A 14,230-nucleotide genomic window follows, 5' to 3' on the forward strand; every position below is an offset into this window, starting at 1 on the left:
CCATCGATGACACCCAACACTTAGGTTGACTCCATATATATCTTGGTAATTGTGTATCCCAAAATGTATACAATTATGATTTGACAATCAGAAATAATATTAAGCATACAATCTAAAAATGCAAACCCCCAGAAACTATTTGGTTCACATGATCTTGGTCTAGCAATATATACTCTTTTCTTTTTACAACTTCTCAGGTGATTCTCAAGCAGATGGTAGTGAACTCCACTGATTATAAGAGCAGCAATTTGTCAGTGATTCTCAGTCCTGGCTGCACACACGAATCACCAAGGGAACTCTGAAAAGGGTACTGCTGCCCCAGACTCAACCCACAGAAATATTGAATTAATTAGTCTGATGTGAGAACAGGTATTTGCATTAAAAAAAAATCCTGTCTGATGGAAAAATTCAAACATATGAGAAATACCAACAGTAGAAAGAACAGTATAAGAAACTTCTGTGTAGACATCACCCAGTTTACCCAATTAACTCAGGGCCAACCTTGTTTCATGTAAGCCCCACCCCTTCCATGAACTCCTATTATTTTGAAGCAAATTCTAGACTTCAAATCATTTAACAATAATTATTTCAGTATGAATCTCTAAAAGATAAGAGCTCTTAAAAATTATAACCATAACATTATCACAACTTAAAAAGTAACAATTCCTTAATATTAATAAAATGTCGTTTTCAAATTTCCAATTGTTGCATAAATTTCATAATTTATTCTTTAAATAATTCTGTTGAATCAGTACCAAATAAGATCCATACACTGAGACTAGTTTATGTTTCTGTGATGATTCATTTTATGAACAAATGTACAGCAACCTGATGGGTCATTACTTTTTGTCTTTTTTTTTTTTTTTTTGAGACAGAGTTTTGCTCTGTTGCCCAGGCTGGAATGCAGTGGTGCAATCTCGGCTCTCTGCAACCTCCACCTCCTGTGTTGAAGTGATTCTCCTGCCTCAGCTCCCCAAGTAGCTGAGACTACAGGTGCCTGCCACCACACCCCGCTAATTTTTGTATTTTTTAGTAGAGATGGAGTTTCACCATGTTGGACAGGCTGGTCTCAAACTCCTGACCTCAGGTGACCTACCCGCCTCAGCCTCCCAAAGTGCTGAGGTTATAGGCGTGAGCCACCATGCCCGGCCTTGATGTGTCATTACATTTGAAGAAGTATTAATAGATAATTAACCTTTAAACTTTTGGAAACATCCTGGTATTAACTACAAAATTGAGAGAGCGATAATAGTGATTGCTCTCACTCTGAGCTCCATGTTAGAATCACCTAAGAAACTCTTTACAAATACTGATGTGCAGCAACTTGAGTGGGCCATGAGGTGCCCAGCTTAAACACTGCTTCTGGATGTGTCTGTGAGGATGTTTCTGGATGAGATTAGCATTTAAATTAGTAGATCATGTAAAGTAGATTGCCCTCGCCAATGTGGAGGGTGGGGGGCATCTTCCAAAACACTGAGGGACCAAATAGAACAAAACATGGAAGGAGGAAATGGCCCTCTTTTTCTTCCTCACCACTTGAGTTGGGACTCATCTCCTCCTCTATCTTCAGACAGGGTTTTACATCATCAGCTCACCTAGTTCTCAGACCTTTGGACTTGGACTGAATTACACCACCAGCTTCTCAGGGTCTCCAGTTTGCAGAGAGAAGATCCTGGGATTTAGCCTCCATTAACTTGTGACCCAATTCCTCATTATATATATATATATATATATCTCTTCTCTCTCTCTCCTATTGGTTCTCTTTCTTTGGAGACTCATGACTAATGCAATGTCTCTTATATCTCTCTAAACTTAGGTTCCTTCTCTATTTACTCCCCTCTGCCCTGTCAATTTATTTGTCTTGGACACTGAAAAACTGGGTCATTGGTCCTGTATCTGTTCCCACAGATAGAATTTTGCCACTTGCTTCACTGTGGTGTCTCTGACACTGTTTGTTGGATTTAGAGGCTTGATAATTTCCGTATTCATTTTGTGTGTGTGTGGTGGAGGTGGGAGAGCACAAAATGTTTTCATAGATGGGGTTGTTCACCCATCCAGAGACACATAATGTCTGGTTGTCTCCATTTTTTGTGACTTCAGCAGCCATGGATGATCATAACTTAAATCCATTAATTCTTAGGAGTTGTGAATTCTGCTATTTAAATTCTATTTTATCACTATTAACTGTAACTTCCCCTCATCTACTGTTTGGTTATCTAGTCAAACAGGTAGCACTGGAAAGACAATTCTTCCTCTTGAGTTGTCTGTTTTTAAAATAATGAGTTTGTTCATAAGCATCCTTTAAGAGATTCTAATTTTTTTAAAAGTATCATTATAAGCCTAGTGTCATTTATGACCTATTTGATGTGTTTCAGTCCATTGAAGTTATTACCCTTGTTAATGCTAAAATGGTCTCATCTTGACCTGTGGGAGCCTTGTCCAGTGGCTTCTGAATACTTTCGATGTGTAGTCTTTGTTAGGTTCCCTGCTATTTTGTGTGACAAGTTTCCAGGCAATATTTTACATTTCTTGTCCGAGACCTGGAGTTGGTAATTTCTCCAAGTAACTGAACATCAATATTTTAAAAACTTTCTCAAGTGATTCTAACATGTATAATAGCTTGGAGTGAGAGCAATCACTATTGCACCTTTCTCAATTTTTCAGTTAACATATATTTCCACAAATTTTTAAATTATCTGCTTCAAATTTAATGACAGTTTGCTCTACATTTGTTCATAATTTTATATTACTTTTCTTCTTAATAAATTGCAAGATTAATATTCTTGCATGAAGAACGAGGTTTCAAAAACAGGAAAACACTCCGAATGTAATCACCATTATATTATCATCTTTTTTGAGGAAAGAAGATATATATAAGCCTGGTCCCAGACTGCATATACCTATCATATGATAATTCTTGTACTGCATGGTCAGAAAATAATGAGACATGCAAAACATTTAACAGAAAAGTGGCGATGAGATGGCCAAATAGGAACAGCTCCAGTCTACAGCTCCCAGCGTGAGCGACGCAGAAGACGGGTGATTTCTGCATTTCCAACTGAGGTACCGGGTTCATCTCACTGGGGAGTGCCAGACAGTGGGTGCAGTGCACTGTGCACAAGCCAAAGCAGAATGAGGCATCGCCTCACCCGGGAAGCACAAGGGGTCAGGGAATTCCCTTTCCTAGTCAAAGAAAGGGGTGACAGATGGCACCTGGAAAATCGGGTCACTCCCACTCTAATACTGTGTTTTTCCAACAGGCTTAAAAAACAGCAAACCAGGAGATTATATCCCGCACCTGGCTCAGAGGGTCCTATGCCCACAGAGTCTCACTCATTGCTAGAACAGCAGTCTGACATCAAACTGCAAGGCAGCAGCGAGGCTGGGGGAGGGGTGCCCACCATTGCCGAGACTTGATTAGGTAAACAAAGCAGCCAGGAAGCTTGAACTGGGTGGAGCCCACCACAGCTCAAGGAGGCATGCCTGCCTCTGTAGGCTCCACCTCTGGGGGCAGGGCACAGACAAACAAAAAGACGGCAGTAACTCTGAAGACTTAAATGTCCCTGTCTGACAGCTTTGAAGAGAATAATGGTTCTCCCAGCACGCAGCTTGAGATCTGACAACAGGCAGACTGCCTCCTCAAGTGGGTCCCTGACCCCCGAGTAGCCTAACTGGGAGGCACCCCCCAGTAGGGGCGGACTGACACCTCACATGGCCGGGTATTCCTCTGAGACAAAACTTCCAGAGGAATGATCAGGCAGCAGCATTTGCGGTTCACCAATATCCGCTGTTCTGCACCCTCTGCTGCTGATACCCAGGCAAACAGGGTCTGGATTGGACCTCTAGCCAACTCCGACCTGCAGCTGAGGGTCCTGTCTGTTGAAGGAAAACTAACAAACAGAAAGGACATCCACACCAAAAACCCATCTGTACGTCACCATCATCAAAGACCAAAGGTAGATATAACCACAAAGATGGGAAAAAAACAGAGCAGAATAACTGGAAACTCTAAAAATCAGAGCGCCTCTCCTCCTCCAAAGGAACGCAGCTCCTCACCAGCAACAGAACAAAGCTGGACAGAGAATGACTTTGACGAGTTGAGAGAAGAAGGCTTCAGATGATCAAACTACTCTCAGCTACAGGAGGAAGTTCAAACGAATGGCAAAGAAGTTAACAACTTTGAAAAAAAATTAGACGAATGGATAACTAGAATAACCAATGCAGAGAAGTCCTTAAAGGACCTGATGGAGCTGAAAACCAAGGCACGAGAACTACGTGACCAGTGCAGAAGCCTCAATAGCTGATGCAATCAACTGGAAGAAAGGGTATCAGTGATGGAAGATCAAATGAATGAAATGAAGCAAGAAGAGAAGTTTAGAGAAAAAAGAATAAAAAGAAATGAACAAAGCCTCCAAGAAATATGGGACTATGTGAAAAGACCAAATCTACGTCTGATTGGTGTACCTGAAAGTGATGGGGAGAATGGAACCAAGTTGGAAAACACTCTGCAGGATATTATCCCGGAGAACTTCCCCAATCTAGCAAGGCAGGCCAGCATTCAAATTCAAGAAATACAGAGACCACCACAAAGATACTCCTTGAGAAGAGCAACTCCAAGACACATAATTGTCAGATTCACCAAAGTTGAAATGAAGGAAAAACTGTTAAGAGCAGCCAGAGAGAAAGGTCAGGTTACCCACAAAGGGAAGCCCAGCAGACTAACAGCTGATCTCTCAGCAGAAACTCTACAAGCCAGAAGAGAGTGGGGGCCAATATTCAACATTCTTAAAGAAAAGAATTTTCAACCCAGAATTTCATATCCAGCCAAACTATGCTTCATAAGTGAAGGAGAAATAAAATCCTTTACAGACAAGCAAATGCTGAGAGATTTTGTCACCACCAGGCCTGCCCTAAAAGAGCTCCTGAAGGAAGCACTAAACATGGAAAGGAACAACCAGTACCACCCACTGCAAAAACATGCCAAATTGTAAAGACCATCAAGGCTAGGAAGAAACTGCATCAACTAACAAGCAAAATAGCCAGCTGACATCATAATGACAGGATCAAATTCACACATAACAATATTAACCTTAAATGTAAATGGGCTAAATGCTCCAATTAAAAGACACAGACTGGCAAAATGGATAAAGAGTCAAGACCCATCAGTGTGCTATATTCAGGAAACCCATCTCACGTGCAGAGACACACATAGGCTCAAAATAAAAGGATGGAGGAAGATCTACCAAGCAAATGGAAAACAAAAAAAGGCAGGGGTTGCAATCCTAGTCTCTGATAAAACAGACTTTAAACCAACAAAGATCAAAAGAGACAAAGAAGGCCATTACATAATGGTAAAGGGATCAATTCAACAAGAAGAGCTAACTATCCTAAATATATATGCACCCAATACAGGAGCACCCAGATTCATGAAGCAAGTCCTTAGTGACCTACAAAGAGACTTAGACTCCCACACAATAATAATGGGAGACTTTAACACCCCACTGTCAACATTAGACAGATCAACGAGACAGAAAGTTAACAAGGATACCCAGGAATTGAACTCAGCTCTGCACCAAGCAGACCTAATAGACATCTACAGAACTGTCCACCCCAAATCAACAGAATATACATTCTTTTCAGCACCACACCTATTCCAAAACTGACGACACAGTTGGAAATAAAGCACTCCTCAGCAAATGTAAAAGAACAGAAATTATAACAAACTGTCTCTCAGACCACAGTGCAATCAAACTAGAACTCAGTATTAAGAAACTCACTCAAAACCGCTCAACTACATGGAAACTGAACAACCTGCTCCTGAATGACTACTGGGTACATAACGAAATGAAGGCAGAAATAAAGATGTTCTTTGAAACCAATGAGAACAAAGACACAACATACCAGAATCTCTGGGACACATTCAAAGCAGTGTGTAGAGGGAAATTTATAGCACTAAATGCCCACAAGAGAAAGTAGGAAAGATCTAAAATTGACACCCTAACATCACAACTAAAAGAACTAGAGAAGCAAGAGCAAACACATTCAAAAGCTAGCAGAAGGCAAGAAATAACTAAGATCAGAGCAGAACTGAAGGAAATAGAGACACAAAAAACTCTTCAAAAAATTAATGAATCCAGGAGCTGGCTTTTTGAAAAGATCAACAAAATTGATAGACCGCTAGCAAGACTAATAAGAAAAGAGAGAAGAATCAAATAGACACAATAAAAAATGATAGAGGGGATATCACCACTGATCCCACAGAAATACAAACTACCATCAGAATACTATAAACACCTCTAGGCAAATAAACTAGAAAATCTAGAAGAAATGGATAAATTCCTCGACACATACATCCTCCCAAGACTAAACCAGGAAGTAGTTGAATCTCTGAATAGACCAATAACAGGCTCTGAAATTGAGGCAATAATCAATAGCTTACCAACCAAGAAAAGTCCAGGACCAGATGGATTCACAGCCAAATTCTACCAGAGGTACAAGGAGGAGCTGGTACCATTCCTTCTGAAACTATTCCAATCAACAGAAAAAGAGGGAATCCTCCCTAACTCATTTTATGAGGCCAGCATCATCCTGATACCAAAGCCTGGCAGAGACACAACCAAAAAAGAGAATTTTAGATGAATATCCTTGATGAACATTGATGCAAAAATCCTCAGTAAAATACTGGCAAACCGAATCCAGAAGCACATCAAAAAGCTTATCCACCATGATCAAGTGGGCTTCATCCCTGGGATGCAAGGCTGGTTCAACATACACAAATCAATAAATGTAATCCAGCATATAAACAGAACCAAAGACAAAAACCACATGATTATCTCAATAGATGCAGAAAAGGCCTTTGACAAAATTCAACAACACTTCATGCTAAAAACTCTGAATAAATTAGGTATTGATGGGACGTATCTCAAAATAATAAGAGCTATCTATGACAAACCCACAGCCAATATCATACTGAATGGGCAAAAACTGGAAGCATTCCCCTTGAAAACTGGCATAAGACAGGGATGCCCTCTCTCACCACTCCTATTCAACATAGTGTTGGAAGTTCTGGCCAGGGCAATCAGGCAGGAGAAGGAAATAAAGGATATTCAATTAGGAAAAGAGGAAGTCAAATTGTCCCTGTTTGCAGATGACATGATTGTATACCTAGAAAACCCCATTGTCTCAGCCCAAAATCTCCTTAAGTGGATAAGCAACTTCAGCAAAGTCTCAGGATACAAAATCAATGTGCAAAAATCACAAGCATTCTTATACACCAATAAGAGAAACAGAGAGCCAAATCATGAGTGAACTCCCATTCACAATTGCTTCAAAGGGAATAAAATACCTAGGAATCCAACTTACAAGGGATGTGAAGGGCCTCTTCAAGGAGAACTACAAACCACTGCTCAATGAAATAAAAGAGGATACAAAGAAATGGAAGAACATTCCATGCTCATGGGTAGGAAGAATCAATATCATGAAAATGGCCATGCTGCCCAAGGTAATTTATAGATTCAATGCCATCCCCATCGAGCAACCAATGACTTTCTTCACAGAATTGGAAAAAACTACTTTAAAGTTCATATGGAACCAAAAAAGAGCTGCGTCACCAAGTCAATCCTAAGCCAAAAGAACAAAGCTGGAGGCATCACGCTACCTGACTTCAAACCATACTACAAGGCTACAGTAACCAAAACAGCATGGTACTGATACCAAAACAGAGATATAGACCAATGGAACAGAACAGAGCCCTCAGAAATTATGCTGCATATCTACAACTATCTGATCTTTGACAAACCTGACAAAAACAAGAAATGGGGAAAGGATTCCCTATTTAATAAGTGGTGTTGGGAAAACTGGCTAGCCATATGTAGAAAGCTGAAACTGGATCCCTTCCTTACACCTTACACAAAAAATTAATTCAAGATGGATTAAAGACTTAAATGTTAGACCTAAAACCATAAAATCCCTAGAAGAAAACTTAGGCAATACCATTCAGGACATAGGCATGGGCAAGGACTTCATGCTAAAACACCAAAAGCAATGGCAACAAAAGCCAAAATTGACAAATGGGATCTAATTAAACTAAAGAGCTTCTGCACAGCAAAAGAAACTATCATTAGAGTGAACAGGCAACCTACAGAATGGGAGAAAATTTTTCCAGCCTACTCATCTGACAAAGGGCTAATACCCAGAATCTACAATGAACACAAACAAATTTATAAGAAAAAAACAAACAACCCCATCAAAAAGTGGGAGAAGGATATGAACAGACAGTTCTCAAAAGAAGACGTTTATGCAGCCAAAAAACACTCATGAAAAAATGCTCATCATCACTGGCCATCAGAGAAATGCAAATCAAAACCACAATGAGATGCCATCTCACACCAGTTAGAATGGCAATCATTAAAAAGTCAGGAAACAACAGGTGCTAGAGAGGATGTGGAGAAATAGGAACACTTTTACACTGTTGGTGAGACTGTAAACTAGTTCAACCACTGTGGAAGTCAGTGTGGCGATTCTTCAGGGATCTAGAACTAGAAATACCACTTGACCCAGCCATCCCATTACTGGGTATATACCCAAAGGATTATAAATCATGCTGCTATAAAGACACATGCACATGTATGTTTATTGCGGCACTATTCACAATAGCAAAAACTTGGAACCAACCCAAATGTCCAACAATGATAGACTGGATTAAGAAAATGTGGCATATATACACCATGGAATACTATGCAGCCATGAAAAATGATGAGTTCATGTCCCTTGTAGGGACATGGATGAAACTAGAAACCATTATTCTCAGCAAACTATCCCAAGGATAAAAAACCAAACACTGCATGTTCTCACTCATAGGTGAGAATTGAACAATGAGAACACATGGACACAGGAAGGGGAACATCACACACTGGGTCCTGTTGTGGGGTCGGGGGAGGGATAGCATTAGGAGATATACCTAATGCTAAATGACGAATTAATGGGTGCACCACACCAACATGGCACATGTATACATATGTAACAAACCTGCACATTGTGCACATGTACCCTAAAACTTAAAGTATAATAATAATAAAATTAAAAAGAAAAAAGAAAACTGGTGATGAATACTTTTTTTGTTTTTGTTTTTGAGACAGGGTTTCACTCCTGTCACCCAGGCTGGAGTGCAATGGTGCGATCTTGGCTCACTGCAACCTCTGCCTCCTGGGCTTAAGTGATCCTCCTCCCTCAGCCTCCTGAGTCGCTGGGACTACAGGCACATTCCATCACGCCTGGCCATTTTCTGTATTTTTTGTGGAGACTGGGTCTTACTATGTTGCCCAGCCTGGTCTTGAACTCCTGAGCTCAAGTGATCCACCCTCCTTGGCTTTCCAAAGTGCTGGGATTACAGGTGTGAGTCACGACACCCAGCCAAAACCTACCTTTAAATACCATTGTAACAATAAAAATAAAAAAGAGTTTCCTGAATAACTAAATGACAACATGGTGTAATGTAAAATAGGCCTCTTAAATTTCAAATTTAGTGATACGGTAATGCTTTCAGCAAAACTGATTGATCTAGCTCTCCCACTAAAGTAAACAGAGACCTAGGTGCTGCGGAAGGGATTTTAATATTACAAAGCAACAGCTGTCTCAGGAATGAAGTTGGTATTAGTTAAAACTGTTCTGTGGTGTTTTCAAGCCAGATTTGCTTATGGGAACTTGGCATCTCAATGCCAAGGTATATGAGCCCATTGTTTGAGGAAATCCTGGCTTTGCATACCTAAATCCTTGTGGTTACCTCTCCATGGTGACCGGTGGACTTCCCTGTTGCAGAATATGATTACCAGCAAGCCGAAACACAGTTTAAATGGTCAGTTGAAGTCACAGCATCTGTCTTGTGGTTTGCGAACTTACTTTTTTCCTTCCTTATCATGGCTTTCATGTTTTTTATTTGAGACTTATTTTGCTTTTTTTTTTTCTTTGAGATGGTCTCACTCTTGCCTCCCAGGCTGGAGTGCAGTGGCATGATTTCAGCTCACTGAAACCTATGCCTCACGGGTTCAAGCGATTCTCCTGCCTCAGTCTCCCAAGTAGCTGGAATTACAGGTGCCTGCCACCATGAACAGCTAATTTTTGTATTTTTAGTAGAGACGGGGTTTCACCATGTTGGCCAGACTGGTCTTGAACTTCTGACCTCAAGTGATCTGCCCACCTCGGCCTCCCAAAGTGCTCGGATTACAGGCATGAGCCACCGCACCCAGTTTATTTTACTTTTTAAAACTCTAAGTTGCCTTAAATATTTCTTGGAAAATGTTAGAGTATAAGGGAACAAAGTATAATAGAATCTTTTGAGACCAAAGTCAGTAAAACAAATTTGTGCTAATACTGAAAGTATCCCCAAGTATATTGGAAAAACAAATTATTTCTAGTTAAACAATTTGTTCGCTTACCTCTAGTTCATAGCCAGGCTCACACTGATAAATAATTGTGCTTTCAAAGGTGTATTTACTGCCAACCACAAATCCATGTTCTGGACTTTCAGGTTTCCCACAAGAAACTGGACTGCAAGATTCATCGGAGAATGGTGGCTCCCAGGTTCCATCAAGCTAAGTGACAAATAACAAAATGTAAGTTATGTTTAGAAGTTAATACATATGAATGAAGAAATTTGCAAATATTGGTTATTTGCAGAATAATCTCCAAAATGATAGTCAAAAGCACCCAGGGTTTGGTCCTACTTTTGCTACTTATTATATGTGGGCTTAAAAAACACACTTTAATTATTAGATGGTCTTAATAGTCACCCACAGACAATTTTAGACATTTCTTAAGCCCATAAAACAGGCATTTTCTTCCTAATAGAATCTATTCAAAAATCACGAGCAACAAGAAATATATTTTCATTATAATGCACGAGAACTGGAGGTTAATACAAATATTCTATAACTTACACTAATGCACTCTTAAATTTCAAGATTCTATATTTTATAATAAAGTTTATGAGAAACAGTAAATTTTAGGCATACTACTCAAAGTTTAAGAAAATCAGCTTCCTTTTCTCCATTCCAACGAGAACACCTAAAAACATTTTATCACATATTTTTGAAGGGGTCATGTAGAAAAAAATTTATATATATATATATAATTTTGTATCTATAAAGAAATCAATAATGATTAAAATAAATTTTATAAAGAAATCCTCAATAAATGATTAAAATAAAAATAACCAAAATAAATTCCAGATATAGCAAAAGAAAACAATAATATGTAGCTTTTAACAGTTATTAGTGTTTTCATTACCCAGAAAGATTTCTGCAAAAAAAAATTATTAAGGCACTACCTACACTATTGAAAAATTAAATGCAACAAATATACTAGGAAAATGGTTAATCTGTTGGGTAAGGTGAGGCACACACAGATATATCTCTTGAAGATTGTTATTCTATTGCTAATATTTTTCTGTTTTCTTTGTGGAAATATATATGAATTGGATAACAGTGTTAAACAGGATTTGCGGCTAAACCCTCATTCTACATATGAACCAAAAGTAATTTTGTATATATGACTGCATCATGATTAACCATTTTCCTAGTATATACATTGCATTTAATTTTTCAATATTGTAAGTAATGCCTTAATAATTTTTTATTTTGCAGAAATCTTTCTGGGTATTATAACACCAGTAACTGTTAAAAGCTACATATTATTGTTTTCTTTTGCTATATGTGAAATTTATTTTGGTTATTTTTATTTTAATCATTTATTAATGATTTATTTTCTCCAGAGACTTGTGATGACTCCTTTATCAGAATCAGCTTCTGACTCATTACTTCTGTTCCATTTATTTTTACTCCTATGTAATTTTACATGAATACTACACTAAGAGTTTTGTAACTCTGTGATATGTTTTAGTTTCTGGAGAGACTGGTCCTCTTTCAGTATTCATTTTTCAAAATTTGTATTGATCTCCTTATCCATGTATTTATTTTATGAACTACAGAATCATTTTGTCACATTACACAATACTCCTAGGTGCTGAACATAGTTTTACACAGTTTACACCTTAAAAAGGGTCTATTCTACTTTTCAGACCAAAAATTTAAACCAAAACCCAGTTGAGCAAAAAAGGGGGGTCATACTATGTGTGAAGAAACTAATGAAGGTTGTGAAAAATAAATTATTGACTTAAAAAAAAAAGAGCTTAGTATCTTTTTTAGCCAGTATCACAGAGTTCTCCAGGGCTTACAAGGGGACCCAGTTGTCTACACACCCAACCTGGAGAACAACAATTTGATTCCCTTAATTATGGCAGAACTCTGTCAGACAGCTCAGAGTCTTAGACAAAGTTTCCTCTAAAACTTCTTCAGCTCTATATCTAAAAGGGACCATCTGGAACCATACAAAATTTGAAGGCAAGTTAATAATTTGGCAATTATTTAACTTGTTCCCCCTAATGTTTCTGCTTTTAGGTTTGACATTGACCAATCATTGAGTATGCATGATTTATAAATGGAAAACTGGGAGAAGGGAATGGTTCTTGAGTCCCTACTATATGTCAGGCAAGTACTAGCAATTTTATATCACATTAGGTAATTTAATCCTTTCAATTATCACAGATTTACAAATAAAAAAATAAGCTGAAGGAATATAAGGTCATAGAACCTACAAATATTTGAGATGGAATTTAAACAAAAAAGTATGCTTGAAGTGAAAGTCTGCTATACTCTGCCACATTCCTCTGCTTTTAATCCCCTGACACCAACCCCAACTCCAGCAAGAGTCTATCAGTGACACATTTTTTCTTCTCCTGGTATATCTTATGGAAGTTAGGAGAAGGGGATGGGCTAGGAAAGTCTGCTGTCTACGGTGATGATTCCTTCCCCGCCACCGCCGTTTTTTTTTTTTTTTTTTTTTTTTTTTGACACGGAGTATTGCTCTGTTGCCAGGCTGGAGTGCAGTGGCGCAATCTCGGTTCACTGCAACCTCCGCATCCTGGGTTCAAGCAATTCTCCTGTCTCAGCCTCCCGAGTAGCTGGGACTATAGGCATGCGCCACTATGCCCGGCTAATTTTTGTATTTTTAGTAGAGACGGGGTTTCACTGTGTTGTCCAGGATGGTCTCAATCTCTTGACCTTGTGATCCATCCACCTCGGCCTCCCAAAGTGCTGGGATTACAGGCGTGAGCCACCGTGCCCGGCCCGATTCCCATTTTCAAACTAAAAGTGCCAAAATTAGGTAAAAAAAATGTGAAAATATCTATAATAAGATTTCATGACAAATTAATCATAAATCTTATGTGCAAAAGAATGTCTATGCATAGAAATCAGCCATGGGTTATGCCCAATATGTTTCTAGATTTAGTGGAAAGACCAAGGTTGTAGAAGCAGGCACTTTCCTCCATTATTTATCTCATTTCTCACCAACAATACAAGATACGTGTAATAATACACTTTTTTTTTTTTTTTTACAAATAAGGAAACCAAAGTTCAGAAATTTTAAGCAACTTTCTCTACTGCTTACAAGCAGCAAATAGCAGAGAAGAGGATTTGACACCAATTATCTGTCTGCTTCTGCAAACTTTTGTCTTTCCACTAAAACTGGAAACATATTGGGCATAGCCCATGGCTGATTTCTACACAAGGACCCTCTTTTAATAAGATTTGTGGTTAATTTGTTATAAATATCTTGTTATAGAAATCTTAATATTTTACCTAACCCTGGCACTTTCTTAGTTTAAAGTGGGAATACTGCAGAAAAAAGATACATTTTACTATATTTTCTACCAAGAAACTTTTCAAATCCTTTGAAATGAGTGAAAACTTCAGACTTTTTTTTCTTTTTGGGATTACTATTATAGATACTGCTTGCTTGGCAATATATGTATATGTAGGCATTACACATTCTAATTAAGACAGAATCTTACCTGACATACTGATATGTTAACTCCCTCAAAGGTATACCCTTCTGCACATGACACAGAAACTTGCCTATTCACACTGAAATCGTCCCCATGTACAAGTATATGTGTTATGTTTTCCGGGAGAGGACATTTTTTAGGACTGCAGGAGATTCTCTCAGGGAACCAGCGACCATCTTTCTGACAGGTGAATGTATCTGTATCTGTATCCATCGTATAACCTTCCAGACATCTGCAATGGAAATGCAAAAATGAGTGCCTTAAATGAAGTACAATATAGTTTCTGATCTATCCTTGGATTTAGGAAGCTGTTACAAGGCTCAGTAGATA

General features: G+C 38.6%; 1 protein-coding gene across 1 annotated transcript in view; it reads right to left on the reverse strand.

The window, feature by feature from the left end:
• Positions 1-14,230, reverse strand: part of SVEP1 (sushi, von Willebrand factor type A, EGF and pentraxin domain containing 1) — a 214,494-nt gene that overhangs the window by 25,173 nt on the left and 175,091 nt on the right. The window contains exons 39-40 of the mRNA NM_153366.4: positions 13,907-14,132; positions 10,434-10,589 (exon numbers count right to left, since the gene is read on the reverse strand). Of these exons, the coding sequence (NP_699197.3) occupies positions 10,434-10,589; positions 13,907-14,132 (382 nt within the window). The remainder of the gene's footprint in view (positions 1-10,433; positions 10,590-13,906; positions 14,133-14,230) is intronic.

This window comes from Homo sapiens, chromosome 9 (assembly GCF_000001405.40).
Source record: "Homo sapiens chromosome 9, GRCh38.p14 Primary Assembly".
In the NCBI taxonomy this organism is placed as follows: Eukaryota; Metazoa; Chordata; class Mammalia; order Primates; family Hominidae; genus Homo; species Homo sapiens.